Consider the following 15,918-nt stretch of genomic DNA (forward strand, 5'->3'; position numbering starts at 1 on the left):
GCCCAATGGGAAAGCAACCTTAATTCTTCTTTTGGCCATCTAACTGTTTTTATTTTAGCTCATTCAGTCAGAAGCAAAAATTTATGCAGAACTGCTCAATAAAATGTACTTGGGTATTTTTTTTTTAAACCCCAAACACACCAACTGAGGAAACTTTAGTTAACGAAAAATTTCCAATCCCTTTGAATATAGATGTTTAACTATTTTAACTTCTGTTTTTATTTTTCAATTTTACTACAGAATTATTTTATAAGTTAACTTATTACCAATCATCTTAGTCAACAGTAGTTTAAAATTTTTAATATTTTAAGTATTTAATGAAAGAATAAAAATAATACACTACATCATCAATTTAAATGAATTTGCATTTATTCTTGCTTGTTTGCACCTTTAATTCACCTGAAGCCCATTTCTCTAGGATTATATTATTGTGTAGAATTATACTGAGTTTGAAAACTCTTTTGTAATAAGATTTCAAAAGAAAAAAACACAAGGCCTTATTTTTATAGAAAAAGGCAGAAAAGATTAATGTTTGACTCAATTTTAAAAAAATCAAAATGTAATAGTCATTTACTAATATTTAACAAACAGCTGGTTTCTCTACTTCACTTCCTATTTGCCTTCTTTCTCTCCCCACCCCCAGACAGGAAACTGCTTTTGACAACAAATGAATCAGCTAGAAGTTAAAAAGCCAGCAGCTAGCAGCTGATTCTTCATGGTTTCCAAACTCCAGCATTTAGAAAAAACTTATTTCCTCTCTCCCTCACCACCATCTACTGAAGAATTAAAGCCCATAAGTCTAAAAGATTCATTAAGAATTATGAAAGCGGCTAACAGGTTAAACTACTAAATTGATCTTGTCAGGGAAATAAGGCCAGTAAGCAGGGCCAAATGGTCAAATCTGCACACAAACCCTCCACCAGAGTGATACGTTATTATACAAACTTTGACACTGTCAATTCACACAACTGGAATGCAAGAATGGAAAATGGCCAGCACACAAATGGAGTTGGCTTGAATTAACTGTAATTCCCAAAGATTAAAAAAAAAGATAATGTATCAGCTTCTTAAGGCTGTATGGATATACACACACCCAAACACATTTTCTCTTTAACCAGCACATTCAGTATTTTAAGTAACATAATAAAAGTATAATTTATCTTTAACTCTATAAATATAAAACCTCTATTAGTAGCACTGAAAGCATGAAGAGCTTTCAATATATTTTTTGTAGAGCTTAATTTATAAGGTTCAAATGACACATTTACTAAGTATGATTTTAAAGAAATAAAACTCATACTTTAAAACATTATACTCATCCTAGTTTACAAATTATATGAAATTTAACTACTTTTAGGCCTTATTTTTTTATAAGAGGCAGAAGCCTAGAGTTATCAATAACCTACTAAAATAAGCATAAATGTGAAACTAAGAACAAAAGTGTATTTACCACAATTATTCCCAACAACGTTTGAGAGATTTCAAGTGCGCCTCTTACCACAATAGCATGAGGAGAATGCACTAAAGGCTTTAGTTCATTCAGGTCATTTTCTGCCTGTAAAAATTGGTATAAAAGAAAAACAGAAATGTCACAAAATGCACATCAAATCTGTAATTTTAGCAGCAGTCACACAGCTCTATATGCCCTACTTTACCTTATCCCAGTCTCCTTCCATGACATGATTTCGGAATTTGGTAGCAGAAGGATGTTCTAAACGACATCCTGACTCTTGCATGAGGAGATCAACAGTCTGGCTGCAGGAAAGATACAGTGTAAAACAGACCTGACCAATTTTAGGGTTTTAATCCTTCAAATAAACTAATGTCCATGAAAACAGATGCAAAGTTTTTAAGCTAGCCTCATGATGAAGAAAAAAATAGCTTTCATGTGCCTGGTTAAACAAACTTTATTTAAAACTGACACCTACATTTTTTCCTAGTCAAGTTAAAAACCTTTCTTGAAACCAGAATCAATGTAAGTTCTTCCTAGTTTGCCATTTAATGCCTCAATTTAATGCATAAAGTATAAAATTTCTAAAAATGTGCTGTAACCAACTAGTCAAATAAATGAAAAACCAGAATCAACATACTACGTTACATTTTGAAAGATAAAAATTATTAGCTTCACACAAGGTTAACAGAGATGACCGTATCAGTTAAGAGCTTATATATCCAGGTATTATATTGCATAGAAATTCTACTAGGTCAATCTTTAAAATTAAAACAAATCCAGCATCAAAAATCATTCCCTTTCTCTCTATACTAAAAATAGCAAATTTACTATGGTGTAGGTTCCAAACAGTCACGAGTTATTTCCTCCTGCTGCTGTCAGCTTGCTTCTTGTCTCAGTAATATGTTCTGTTAGCATTTACAAAATCTGTTTTCATACTAATCCTTTTCCCTAGGGAATAAAGTGAATTCTTCCTACCACATATTTGTCTTTGAGCACTTAAAAGATTCATCAACTGTATTTTCTTCCCTCATGTATTCTGGTATCTAAGAACCTTCATTTATCAGTCTATTTTTTGTGCTTATGTTTCAATGCTTTCTTATTCAGCTTTAAAACTTAATTTTTAGCTAAACAGTGCAATGATCTGCCTGAAAACCGAAATACTTGTGCCACTTTTAAAAAGTTCTGTTCTCCTCCCCACTCCCCAAGAAATCCATAAATGCAAAAGTACACATCGGCTAGCCTGAGAGCTTAATCTACACTCTGAATGTAGGAAACTGACTGCTGCTGCACGTCCTCCCCCCTTCATTTCATTCTGACTCCGTCTCTTGCACCTCCTTCATCAGGCACTCCCACCAATCCTACCTTCCACCCCCTTAGTTTTTCTTTGTGTGTATACAAAACGGTGGTTTTTGTCCAAGGTCGCTGTCTACCTTCACCCTATGTTAGGTATACAAGGCCACCTAAATTGTATTTGAAAACAAATGGTTCACCAGATCAGATGTCCCCTTTTCAGAGGCGATCATCTTCTTGGTATTAAACTGAGATTTCAGACTAGTTAGGGTTAGGCCTCTTGTACACACACACAAGGGCCTTTAAACGACATCAACACTGTATCTTCATTATTCGCATCAGATTTATTCAACAACCTCTTTCCAAATGATCCCAGCCCCTCCGTTCCCATAAACACTTGTAGGTGATTGTCTTTCCTGATTGGTAGTTTGCTTGGGTTGTTGTCTGCCACGGTTGGGGGTGGGGAGGTGTCCCACAAAGATGCCTCCAAGATACACTTGAAAAACAAATCCTCCAAGGTTCATTATTTCCACCAGCTCTAATCCACCCCTCCCCCAACACATACAGAAACACACTCCCGCATCTGTCTTTATTGACAGACAATTAAGCTCTGAAGGTGCGTGGGGAGAAGTCATTCTTTGGGTTTCTCCTAACCCTTCCTAACCCCTCAACGCCTGTCTCGTCTCACAATTTGTCAGACTGATTGATTTTCCCCTATTTCCTTTCAGGTCCGCTCCTCCTCCCCGGTCGCCCTGAGCCGCGTCCTCCTGTGTACTGGGTCCTGCGTGCCCAGCACTCATTCTCTTTGACCGAGCTCTTTCAAGCCCCCCTCCCCCCTCCGCCCCTTCCCCTACCCCCCTGGAGCCTCCGTCCCTCGGTCTGTCCATCACCAGCTGGCGGTAAGGGATACTTACTTGAGCCCTAAGCCATTCAAGTGCTGTCCTATTAGCCTAATGACATCCTCATCTGACTGGGAGAGCCGCTTCTTCTTCTTGAGGCTGCTGCCCAGTTCTGGGGTGGCCAAGGAAGAGGAGGCGGCGGTGGTGGCGGAGGCAGCTGCGACGGTGGCTGAGGATGCGGCGGCCGCCCCGCCGGGAACCCCGTTATTGACATTCAGGCTGTTGCTATTGTTGCTGGCGGCGGAGGGGGCGGAAGGCAGGAGCCCATTGGCGTGGGCCAGGTCCCCCGCGGACGACGACGACGAGGGGGACGACTCCCCGTTCTGGGCCGACAAGCAGGCGAGTTCCGGGGTCTGTCCCTGGCCCCCGCCGCCCCCTCCTCCTCCACCGCCGCCGCCGCCACCTCCTCCTCCTCCTCCTGCCCCATTGGCCTGCATGATGCTGCCGCTGACCAGGCTGTGGCCGCTACTTCGGTGGGGGACAGCAGCGGCGGCGGGAGGGGCAGCAGCCGGGGGAAGTCCCACCACTACCACCACGGAGGAGGAGGAGGAGGAGGAGGACGAGGACGACGAGGACGGAGGGGAGAGGCCTGCTCTGCCTGCCGAAGCCCCGGGCTCTCCTACTCCCTCCGCCGCCGAGGCTCGGGGTTTCTTCCGCGGGGGCGGGGAGGCTCCGCCGGTGTCCGAGTCGGAGGAGGAGGAAGCGGAGGCCAGAGTTTCCTCGCCGAGAGAGGCCGTGGTGGGAAGCCGGTGGGGCGAGGCGGGGGAGGGGAGGCGGGGGCCGGGGAGAGGGTCGGGGTGAGGGGGGCCGGGGAGGCGGGGAGGGGGTCAGGGTAGGAGGGTGAGGGTGAGGGTGAGAGGAGGGGGAGGAGGAGGAGGGGGAGAAGGAGGATCCGGGCCCTTTCCCCCCCCCCTCCCGGAGGCAGCTCGGGGTGCGCGGCCCGGGGGTCGCGCCGGGGGGCGCCGCGGGGCGGCTGCGGGGGCGCGGGGCCCGCCGCTGGGCTGAGCCCCGGCAGTGGCTGCGGCGGCGGCGGCGGCGGGCGGCAGCGGAGGCAGCTGCCGCCTCTGTCCTCGGATCCGCTCCGCTCTGCTCCCTGGTGTGTTGATTCTTCCCCCAGCTGCTGCCTAATGGAGTCCAGGCGCTCGCGTCACAGGAAATGCCTATACTGCCCTCCTCACTCACTTCCGGTGGCAGGTATGGAACCTATAGGGGGCCTGTCACCCAGCACGTGCATCGGGGGCTGTCCCGGGGGTCAGGGGAGGGAGGCCAGCGGGCCGGCGGGGTCCGCCCCGACCCCATCCACGACCCCGACTCCTATCCGATCCTATCCCCGGCCCCGCTCGGGCCTTTCCCCTTGCGCCCTGGCTCGGCTGGCTCGACGAGCAGTAAGTTCGTAGCCGCCCTCCGAAGCCGGGCGTGCATGGGATGGCAGAGTTGGCGTGCGTGCGTGAGTCCACCAGTGTGGCATGGGCATGTAAGGTGCGCGGAGGGACTGCACCTTCTCCATCAGGTGCAGAAGGTGAGGATGGGGCAGGGGGCTAGGAGCTTCGACAGGCAGGAACTTCCAGGCACAGGGCTGTGGTAGGCCCCTCTCAATGGTAACCAGGACCGAAATCGGGTTTCACAACCTACTTGTTTTAGGGTGGAAAAACTTGAATTTCCACAGCCAAGTGCCACACAGTTGCTGTACCCGGGGCCATCCCGGGAGCTGTGAGATAATGAGCCGGTGAGACTCTGCTCCACCCTGGGAAGGGGAGTTAGTCTAGAGGAGCATATCTTATGGGGACAAGAAGTCACAAAAAGGCTGTGTGGTGTGTAGAGAAGGGGAGGGACTCTGCTGTTGAGGCTTCACTCTTTTTTAGCACTTGCCCAGCACCTCCTTCTCTCTTCCAGCTGCCTCTTGAGTCACTGCCCAGTTTAGGGAGCAGTAACATAAACCAAACAGTTGCCTCCAAAATATGCATTCTGAGAAGGATTCAGGCACCCATTCAGATCCAGGCTTGAAATTTTTACGTGGCATGTGAGCCTTCTGTGTCATCATGACTTACCAATTTATGTGAATGTAGAAATGCAGCAACAAAGACTGGGCTGAATCTTAATCATTGGCAAATGGTGTGCATTATCCCCAAACAATTATTTTCATGTATGTGGTTGATAGCATCTATACTCAATATGTATAAAGATTTTCTCAGAAATTTAAAGTCTTTCTCTGAAGTAGTTTTCCTGTGGGGAGGGGAAAAAAAACACCTTAGTTTCTAATTAATACATCATACATCGCTGATATTTATTATAGTAATAACTGAAAGTAATTTTGAGGCCTTTGGAGACAGTTGTTTTTAAATTTGGAAATACAATAAAAAATGATGCTGATGAGAAATTAGTAAAGAATCCTGAGGTTTATGGATCCTCAGACAGGAAGAAGTAAGAGGAAGGTCAATGCAGGATCTTACAGGGATTTGGTTTTGTAGTTCTTACTGCTTAAATTTGCTTCCAGGTGGCAGCTGTAATTGCAAGGTGACTCACATACAGTGTTTATATTCACCTGAGGCCGACCTGAGTTCTAGTTGAGGTTCATAGAGCTCTGTCACTGTATCCAGCAGAGCCTGAATTACTAGATAGTTAACACCCTCAGAGAGCCCTGTTTGTATATTAACTTTAGACAACCTTATTATTAAAAGTGTTGTTTAGGCAAAATTTAATTTTTGCAAAATGGTTTATAATAATTTATTAGGCCCATAGCAACATTGAAGACTTGCTTCTGAATAAAGACTGTAGGTTTTATAAAGGAAATCAGTCACTTCATGGCAGCTACAGACAAAGCTCACACTTCATTAACAAAAGTAAAATGATGAAAAATAAATTGGATTCCATTGCTATCTAAACTCTATATTCCAGTTTTTCTAATTTTTAGGTAACCAACACTGCTCGTGTTAGAATTCTGAATTTATAAAGTCCCTTACAGAACATTTTTCTCTGTACTAAAACACAGCTTGAGAATCTGTTATCTGAACTCTGGGTCTTTAGGTCTTTCTAAAGCCAAGTTTCAGGTCTATGTGCAGATGAACAATTCTGAAATACCACTCTACACACTGAGGAACCTTCAGTAACACCACATTACCTACAGAATAAAATCCAAATTCTGTCTTGCTCACCACAGGTTGCTTTCAGTCTTTCTTTTTGGCTTCATCTCTTATTGCTCCTCTTCAGGGACCTGTCTACTGTCCGCCAAATGTACTGGCTCATTTCTCCTTGAGAGTCTTTGACTACACTCTCCCGTCTTTTCTTCACCTGTCTGATGCCAGTCAGTCTTTCAAGACTCAGCTCATTTCAAACCTCCTCAGGGGAGCCTTTCCTGACTTCCACTCTCCTAGCCGTCATTGTGGGTGTCATTTATTAGGCTCCTCAATCACGAAGGCTGCTTGTGATGTAACTTGCTAAGACCCCTTCTTCAGGTCATCAGAGAGAAGGCTTTCTAGACCTCTGTCCCCCTGATTTACCTTCCCCTTTTCACCCTCCTCCTAAAAAGGACTAAGATGGGTTTAGGAACAAAGGTCCAAGTTATCTTTTAGAAAAAAGAAATCAAGTGTGTATTTTGATACTTGATTCATTTGTATTTGCTTCTGTACTGTTTTAAATAGAGACCTGTTAAAAACGGGTCTCTATTTGACCCATCTTGTGTTAGGTTCCAAATAAGAGGTAACTTCTTGTCCTTGAAATAGCAAACAAGCCTTTTTCACATTTCTCACCTTTTTTCAGGGATGCTGTAGAATCAAATATCGAGTAGGTAGTGGAACTAATTGACCTCCAGGCCTTTCCAACTGTAAGAGGTCTGTGAACTGTATGAGACTCCCAACTAATGTATAAATTCCTTGAGGGCACGATCTGTGTATTGTTCATATAAGCCAGTATTTTTCAGCTTTTGGGTTGTGACCCATTTGTAAGTCATGGAATCCATTTAGTGGGCCATAATTTGTATTTTTAAAAATAAGGTGGCAAAGTATAAAAGCATAGAAGATATCCAAGTGAATCACTCAAAAGAGGGGTGATTATTATTTTGTGAAATTTTTGTTTCAATGACAGACACATGTCTATGCTTTACAAAGTAAAATATATTTCTTCTGTAGGCCATTGTCAAAAAAGTTTGAAAAACGTTCCTATAAGCCAGTCCAGACTAGACTAGAAGGCAACTCAAGAAATAGGTGTTGGATATATAATTAACAAATCACTAGTACTGCCCACGGCAACTATTTTTTTTTTTTTTGGAGACAGAGTTTCGCTCTGTCGCCCAGGCTGGAGTGCAGTGGCGCGATCTTGGCTCACTGCAAGCTCCGCCTCCTGGGTTCACGCCATTCTCCTGCTTCAGCCTCCCGAGTAGCTGGGACTACAGGCAACCACCACCACACCCGGCTAATTTTTTGTATTATTATTATTATTTTTAGTAGAGACGGGGTTTCACCGTGTTAGCCAAGATGGTCTCGATCTCCTGACCTCGTGATCTGCCCACCTCAGCCTCCCAAAATGCTGGGATTACAGGTGTGAGCCACCATGCTGGCCTTTTTTTTTTTTTTAAATACAGACACAGTCTCATTATGTTGCCCAGGCTGGTCTCAAACTCTTGAGCTCGAGCAATCCTCCCGTCTTGGCCTCCCAAAGTGTTAGGATTACAGGTGTGAGCTACCACTCCTGACCCCAAGACAATATCTTAACTGTAAAAATTAAACTCTACCATATTTTAAAAAGCTGAGATAGTATAAATGTTTATAATAAAACATAAAACCAACATTTCTCACAAGTCTTTGTAACTAGTAGAGACTGTAGTTGTTCTGTCCAGATATAAGTGTGGTATATCAACTTGGCACTTAGCAACATTGATATTTAATTTGTTAAATTTTTGTTAGGAAGAGGTGTTTTCAGATCTCAGGTGTCTTTGGGAAGGAATATTTTTATATTTATATCTCCAGCTTCATTCCTAGCTTTTCTTTGGAACACTAAAATTGTCCAGCTGGACTTGTTGGGCCTGGGTGGGATTGGGAGAATTCAGGAGAGCACAGTTCTTGGGCCAGAACAGTTGGTCAGCTGATTGACTCTAGGCAAGTCATTTAACTTTCGCAGCCCCTCAGGCATGTCATGTTTAAGTGGGGATAATGACATTGGCATACCTGCTTGCTAGAGTTAATGTGTGGGTCATGAGATAACGAATATAACAAATATTTGGAAAAGTACTATGTTGAAATATTTTAAAATAAAATTTAAATCCCTCTTCATTTAGAAAGGATTTGAGGCAGCTAAATGCAGAGGTGTAAGATGGTTTTTTGGTTAGGATTGTTTCTGAGCTGTGACTCTGTAGTCACTTTCTTACTCAGCCCTGCCACTCAGCTGTATTCCTCTGTAGCTCTGGGCAGACGACTCTGAACACGGCTTCATATTGGCCTTCCATGAGTGGGTGAAGGGCATAGTCATCTGGCAGTTTTACCTGCTGTTCTATGCATGTCTCTCCAGCGCTTGCTTATTTTCCCCTTCTGCAAACATTCCATTCATGCCATGGGCATTCAGTACAGTCCTGTAAGCAAGGGTAGGGGCGGCACACCAGGTGGATTTAAGCGCAAAGACAGGACGACTGCTTTGCCACAGGCGCCTTTACAGCCAGCAGTGAACAGTTAGACATATTCACCTTCCTCTAGGTGGAAAACAGTCCTCTTCTCAGTAGCCCTCTCATGTTCTTGAGACCCATTTGATATAAATAACAATGTTGCAGGAAATTTCCTGAAGGAACTGAAATGAACCATAGAAACGAGATCATTCTTTTCCTACCACACAGCTGGGATTAGACTGCTTAGTTTGTACTTGCAGCACTTTTGCAGTATGGGCCGTATTAAAAAAAAAAAACATTTAACACTCAGCTATGGGTACAAAGATAGTCACTGAAACATTATTATTTACTTTTATTTATATATTTATTTTTGAGATGGAGTCTCGCTCTGTCGCCAGGCTGGAGTGCAGTGGCGCAATCTCGGCTCACTGCAACCTCAGCCTCCCAGGTTCAAGTGATTCTCCTACCTCAGCCTCCCGAGTAGCTGGGACTACAGGCGTGCACCACCATCCCCAGGTAATTTTGGTTTTTGTTTTGTTTTGTTTTTTGAGATGGGGTCTCGCTCTGTCGCCCAGGCTGGAGTGCAGTGGCGCAATCTCGGCTCACTGCAAGCTCCGCCTCCTGGGTTCATGCCATTCTCCTGCCTCAGCCTCCAGAGTAGCTGGGACTACAGGCACCCACCACCACACCCGGCTAATTTTTTGTATTTTTAGTAGAGGCGGGGTTTCACCGTGTTAACCAGGATGGTCTCGATCTCCTGACCTCGTGATCTGCCCGCCTCGGCCTCCCAAAGTGTTGGGATTACAGGCGTGAGCCACTGCGCCCAGCCAATTTTGGTATTTTTAGTAGAGATGGGGTTTCACCATGTTGACCAGGATGGTCTCGATCTCTTGACCTCATGGTCCGCCTGCCTCGGCGTCCCAAAGTGCTGGGATTACAGGCATGGGCCACTGCACCTGGCTGCATTATTATTATTATTATTTTATTTTGAGTTAGGGTCTTGCTCTGTTGTCCAGGCTGGAGTACAGTGGTGCAGTCATAGCTCACTGCAGCCTCAACCTCCAAAGTTCAAGTGGTCTTTCTGCCCCAGCCTCTTGAGTAGCTGGAACTACAGGTGCACACCACCTGGCTAATTTTTTATTTTTTGTCTAGAGGCAGGGTCACCCTATGTTGCCAAGGCTGATCTTAACTCCTGGGCTCAAGCAATCCTCCTGCCTTTTCCTCCCAAAGTTCTGGGATTACAGACATGAGCAACTGCTTCTGGCCTGAAGCATTAAGAGCAAAAAGAAAGTGGTAATCACCATGTACTGATATGGATATAGTACCAAGATATGTTATTAAGTGAATAATGCATGTTACAAAACAGTGTGCATAATATGATGCATTTTGATAAATAAATTTATGTATATATGCACATATTGTTTTCTCTGGTAGGAAAGAAAAGCATAAACAGGGTTTCTCTTTGATGGATGGAGTGGGGTAGTGAGGGGAGAAGTTCTTATTTTTCCATTTAATACTACTCCTTGGTGTTTGAATTTTACAGCTGTATACAGTATTAAGTTTTTTTTTTTTTTTTGAGACGGAGTCTCGCTCTGTCACCCAGGCTGGAGTGCAGTGGCACGATCTCGGCTCACTGCAAGCTCTGCCTCCCGGGTTCACACCATTCTCCTGCCTCAGCCTCCCGAGTAGCTGGGACTACAGGCGTCCGCCACCATGCCCGGCTAATTTTTTGTATTTTTAGTAGAGACAGGGTTTCACCGTGTTAGCCAGGATGGTCTCAATCTCCTGACCTCATGATCCGCCCCCCTCGGCCTCCCAAAGTGTTAGGATTACAGGCGTGAGCCACCGTGCCCGGCCAGTATGAAGTATTTTTAAAAAGTGCCAAGGGGTTATTTGGGTTGTGAGATTGTATATAATTTTTCTTTCTTTTTTATTAATGTTATGCTTCTAAAGCACACGTTTTTAAAAGAACACTCAAAAAACATCAAAATGTTCATAATAAAAACATGCCAGATAAGGCAATGTTATTAAGTATATTTGACAGTAAGTATTTGTTTTTCTAAATCTCCTTCTCATTACCCATACCTCTTATATTCTCACACTGCCATCTCTGCACACACCCACCCCATCTCTCATTTGGTTAAGTTCTTCTGGGGAATAAAGGGCAAAAAGGCATTCCTATTTATTAACTTTGAAAAGTAGATAAATAATTAATAGCCCCAGGAGTCCCTGCATAGACTCTAACAACAGGCCCTTTGGGCAGTCTTCCTTCTTCTCAGTTTCGAATGTGTTGTTCATCCCTCTGACATTATGATAATCACAATAATCAATGGTAAAACACAATTATGACTGTTAACAACAAATTCTAATTATCATAAGAAAATGTTTCTGAATATGTGTATGCATCCCCTGTAGATGTAATGGACCAATAACTAGGCATTTAAAACAGAAAAATTTTAAAGACTGTAGTAGATTATTCATAAAGTTTAAAAACTTATTGAAGGGATCTCGAGGCTTCTTCAGTTAATTGTTATTTTTTAAAATTATGCTCTTTACTAAATAATACTAAATGTATAGGCAAACATGAAATATTATAATAGCCTAAATTTTAAAAAATTTATTGAATGAAAGACCATGAATGTCAGTCATTAACAACAAAAAGCAAAACAATAACTCTTAGCTTCTTGTGGCTAGTGGAGGGGTGCTTAGCCAACTCAGGACTAACAGAGTTTGGGAGATTTATTGATTCCCTTAATTTTTTTTTTTTTTTTTTTTTTTGAGACAGGGTCTTCCTTCATTGCTCAGGCAGGAGTGCAGTGGCACGATCATGGCTCACTGCACCCACCTTGAGGTGGGCTCAAGCAATCCTCCCACCTCAGCCTCCCGAGTAGCTGGGACCACAGGCATGCACTACCACACCTGGCTAACTTTTTGTAGAGACAGGGTCTCCCCATGTTGCCCAGGCTGGTCTTGAACTCCTGGGCTCAAATAATTCTCCCGCCTCAGCTTCCCAAAGTGCTGGGATTATAGGCAAGAGCCTGGCCTCTCTTACTGGGGTTTGTATCATCACACATAACAGTAGCCTTTCTCTATAAATTCCTGAAAAATAAGGATGTACATTTTCTGCTACAGCTCTGACCCCTTATTTCAGAATGTCTTTTTCTCTGTCCCCAGATTATTGACAAATACTGTGGCATAGAAGTAGATGTGTTTTTAAGATTTAGCCAGAGTGTCAACAACACTGTTCTTTTCATTTTGTTTCCTAGTGCCCAGTTGTTCCATTCTTAGCCTTTTTTTTCCCTGTGATGGCGCATGTCCACAGCAGGGCTTCTGTGATAATGAAATAATAGAGCTAACACTAGGAAGACAAGGTTGTAAGTGCTTTACATATATTGTACTCTTTTAATCTTCCCATCAACCTTATGAAGGCTGTATTTTCATTAGCCACATTTTACAGGTGAGAAACTGAAGCACAGAAAACTTGAGGTCATATAGCTGGTGCGTGGCTCCAGAGCTGTGTTCTCAACACCTTCATTACATGACTTTTTGGAGACGGCTTGTGTTAGTCCGAAAAGTAGCCACTGTTTAAATTCCTTAGGGGTTAAAAGGAAAAATGGAGCAAGTCCTATACGTTCATTTTTGAACTTTTCCCTTTTTGGGTATATGAAACTTCGGCTCCTCACCTTTGAAGCCTGTATCATTTCATTAACCTAATTAGTAGTAGGTAAGTAAGCCCATTAGGGACACTAAAAGATTTTCTTTCCTCCAGAAGCTATCACAGGGGGTACCTGAATGCTTTGTACCAAAGGTAGAGTTCATTTCTCCAAGAAATCCTTGTTGAAACAGACATTATGTCCAGTAGGGATAGCACACTAAGCTAGGCGTTAACTTGGAGATTTATCAATTTAGAACACTTCATCTTGAAATGGCAAAGGAAGGCAAGAAGGAGGAAATGAATTTTCTTTCCCTGTGAACTGAGAAGGCTTCCAAACCTGGAGGGCTTCCTGGGAGACACATTAAGTCAGAAGGCCCTAGCTAGGTTTATATTTACAACTACTTGCATCTATCTAATGAGGGTTTCTAAATTGTGTAGGCCTGTAGTAGTCTAGATCCCTGGAATAAGAGCCAGACTTGATTTATACAGGAATTCATACTTGATTACTCCATTAGCAGCTCCAGCTAGGTCAGCTGGCAAAGGAAGCCACAGATATCTAACTGAGATGAGGCTCGATAGCATAAGCTTAATATCGAGGGACAAGACAGGAAAGGTCAGCTCAGGGAGAATACAGGAGCTTCTTTTAAGAGTCTTCTGTTTTAGACAAAGCAACTGGGCTACCTAGAGACCTTACCTTGGCATACACCCCAAAGAATATAGGTAAATGATTGCTCTGCCCAATTATATATATAGATAGATAGATAGATAGATATCTATAGATATAGATATATATATATATTTTTTTAGGCTGCTTCTCTGAGAGTAGAGACACTGTCACCTGTGCTGGTCAGTGTGCAGATGTGGTTTGGGATGTCCTCTGTTTCAGAGACTGCCTGATAGTGAGGGGATAGCCAAGATGATTTCTTGAGGTCCCTATAGCCTAGGGATTCAGTGTTTATGGAAGCTGCATTGCTACTACATAATCTTATTTGATTAGCCCAGGTAGGGGCAGAAGACAAGAGTCATAAATAGGCAAACAGTATAAAACCTTGGATTTGTTCTAGATTTTTAAAAAGTTTTATTATGCAGTATTTTAAACATACATAAAGGTAAAGAAATGGTGTAGCAATTCCCATGTCCCCACCATCCAGCTATGATAGCTATCATCTATGCTTGTGTTATCTGTCCTCTCTCCTGATTATTTTGAAGTAAATCCAGGATATTATTTATTTATAATATATTTACTTATACTTCGGTATATAGCTCTAAAAGATAAAACCTCCTTTTGAAAATATTGCCTTAATACCATCATCACACCTAAAAAATTAATATTGTCATCAGATATGCAATTAATCTCAAAATTTTCCAACTGTCTCAGAATTTCTTTTAACAGTTGGCTTGTATGAAGCAGGATCTAAAAAAGGCCCACATGTGGCATTTGGTTTTTTTTATTTTTATTTTTATTTTTATTTTTGAGACAGAGTCTCGCTCTGTTGCCTAGGCTGGAGTGCAGTGGCTCACTGCAACCTCTGCCTTCTGGGTTCAAGTGATTCTCCTGCCTCAGCCTCCCAAGCAGCTGGCTTGTGCCACCATGCCCAGCTAATTTTTGCATTTTCAGTAGAGGCGGGGTTTCACCATATTGGCCAGGCTGGTCTCAAACTCCTGACCGTGTGATCCACCCTCCTTGGCCTTCCAAAGTGCCGAGATTACAGGCATGAGCCACCGCGCCCTGCTGGTTTCTTTTTTTTTTAGACGGAATCTTTCTCTGTCACCCAGGCTGGAGTGCAGTAGCGCGATCTCGGCTCACTGCAACCTTCGACTCCCGGGTTCAAGCAATTCTCCTGCCTCAGCCTTTTGAATGGATGGGATTACAGGCGTGCGCCACCACGCCCGGCTAATTTTTGTATTTTTAGTATAGATGAGGTTTCACCATGTTGGTCAGGCTGGTCTCAAACTCCTGACCTCGTGATCCGCCCACCTCGGCCTCCCAAAGTGCTGGGATTACAGGCATAAGCCACCACGCCCGGCCCTTTTTTTTTTTTTTTTAGTAAACATCTTTATTAAAGTATAATATGTAGAAAGGAGTATATACATCCTTAATTGTACAACTCAGTTTTTTCTAGTGAACGTACCCGTGAAACCATCACCCAGGTCATGAAATAGAACGTTACCAGGACCCCAGTAGTATCTTATTGTAGTTTTAATTTGCATTTCTCTGATGACTAATGGTGTGTGTATATAAATACATAAGTAAGTGTATGTATAGTCCTACATATATGTATGTCTATATACATTTTTTGCTATTTGGATGTTTTCTTTTGTGAAGTGCCTTTTCAAATCTTTTGCTTGTTCCTCCTCTTTTAAGATTGTGTTGCCTTTTGGCCGGGTGTGGTGGCTCACACCTATAATCTCAGCACTTTGGGAGGCCAAGGTGGGTGGGTCACCTGAGGTCAGGAGTTCGAAATCAGCCTGGCCAACATGGTGAAACCCTGTCTCTACTAAAAATACGAAAATTAGCCGGGCGTGGTGGCGCATGCCTGTAATCCCAGCTACTTGGGAGTCTGAGGCAGGAGAGTTGCTTGAACCTGGGAGGTGGAGGTTGCAATGAGCTGAGATCATGCCACTGCATTCCAGCTTGGGTGACAGAGTGGGACTCTGCTTAAAAAAAAAAAAAAAAAAAAAAGAAAGATTGTGTTGCCTTTCTATTATTGATGTGTGGAATTCTGTGTATATTCTGGATGTGAGTCCTTTGTTGGATGTATGTACTGCAAATTTATTTTCCCTCTGTGTGGTTTGCTTTTGCTCTCTTAATGTTGTCTTGATGAACAGAAGTTCTTAATGAAATCCAGTTCATCAGTTCTCTTTATGGTTTGTGCTTTTTGTGTTTTACTTTAGAAGTCATTTCTCGTCCTCAAGGGCATAAATATATTCTTCTGTGTTATATCCTCTGGAAGTTTCAACGTTTTGCCTTTCATGTTTATGTCTACAACCATTCTGTAGTTTAGTTTTCTGACTGGTGTGAGGTAGGGGC

General features: G+C 43.1%; 2 protein-coding genes across 16 annotated transcripts in view, besides 2 other annotated features; one reads left to right on the forward strand and one right to left on the reverse strand.

Annotated features, from left to right (window-relative positions):
* Positions 1 to 4,771, reverse strand: part of WDR26 (WD repeat domain 26) — a 49,652-nt gene extending 44,881 nt beyond the window's left edge. For 2 of the 3 annotated variants that reach the window (NM_025160.7, NM_001379403.1), the window contains exons 1-3: positions 3,658 to 4,771; positions 1,656 to 1,755; positions 1,451 to 1,555 (exon numbers count right to left, since the gene is read on the reverse strand). In NM_025160.7, the coding sequence (NP_079436.4) occupies positions 1,451 to 1,555; positions 1,656 to 1,755; positions 3,658 to 4,079 (627 nt within the window). In that variant the 5' untranslated portion in view covers positions 4,080 to 4,771. The remainder of the gene's footprint in view (positions 1 to 1,450; positions 1,556 to 1,655; positions 1,756 to 3,657) is intronic. The other variant, NM_001115113.3, reaches the window with a different exon arrangement.
* The window catches only part of CNIH3 (cornichon family AMPA receptor auxiliary protein 3), a 305,915-nt gene continuing 294,610 nt past the window's right edge, over positions 4,614 to 15,918 (forward strand). For 10 of the 13 annotated variants that reach the window (NR_136293.2, NR_136291.2, NR_136294.2 and 7 more), the window contains exon 1: positions 4,823 to 5,161. Coding sequence is in view for 2 of the 13 variants with exons in the window: in NM_001322302.2 (NP_001309231.1) it covers positions 5,063 to 5,161 (99 nt within the window). In the remaining 11 variants the exon portion in view is untranslated. Of the gene's footprint in view, positions 5,162 to 15,918 lie in introns of all 13 variants that reach the window. The other 3 variants (NR_136289.1, NR_136290.1, NR_136288.1) reach the window with 1 other exon arrangement.
* Positions 4,750 to 5,149: a silencer, noted in NCBI's record as "silent region_1853". NCBI's record gives its function as "represses an Ori minimal core promoter by ATAC-STARR-seq in GM12878 lymphoblastoid cells {active_cell/tissue: GM12878}" and the evidence as "EXISTENCE:reporter gene assay evidence [ECO:0000049][PMID:35858748]".
* Positions 5,490 to 5,679: an enhancer, noted in NCBI's record as "active region_2612". NCBI's record gives its function as "activates an Ori minimal core promoter by ATAC-STARR-seq in GM12878 lymphoblastoid cells {active_cell/tissue: GM12878}" and the evidence as "EXISTENCE:reporter gene assay evidence [ECO:0000049][PMID:35858748]".

Source organism: Homo sapiens, chromosome 1, assembly GCF_000001405.40.
Source record: "Homo sapiens chromosome 1, GRCh38.p14 Primary Assembly".
In the NCBI taxonomy this organism is placed as follows: Eukaryota; Metazoa; Chordata; class Mammalia; order Primates; family Hominidae; genus Homo; species Homo sapiens.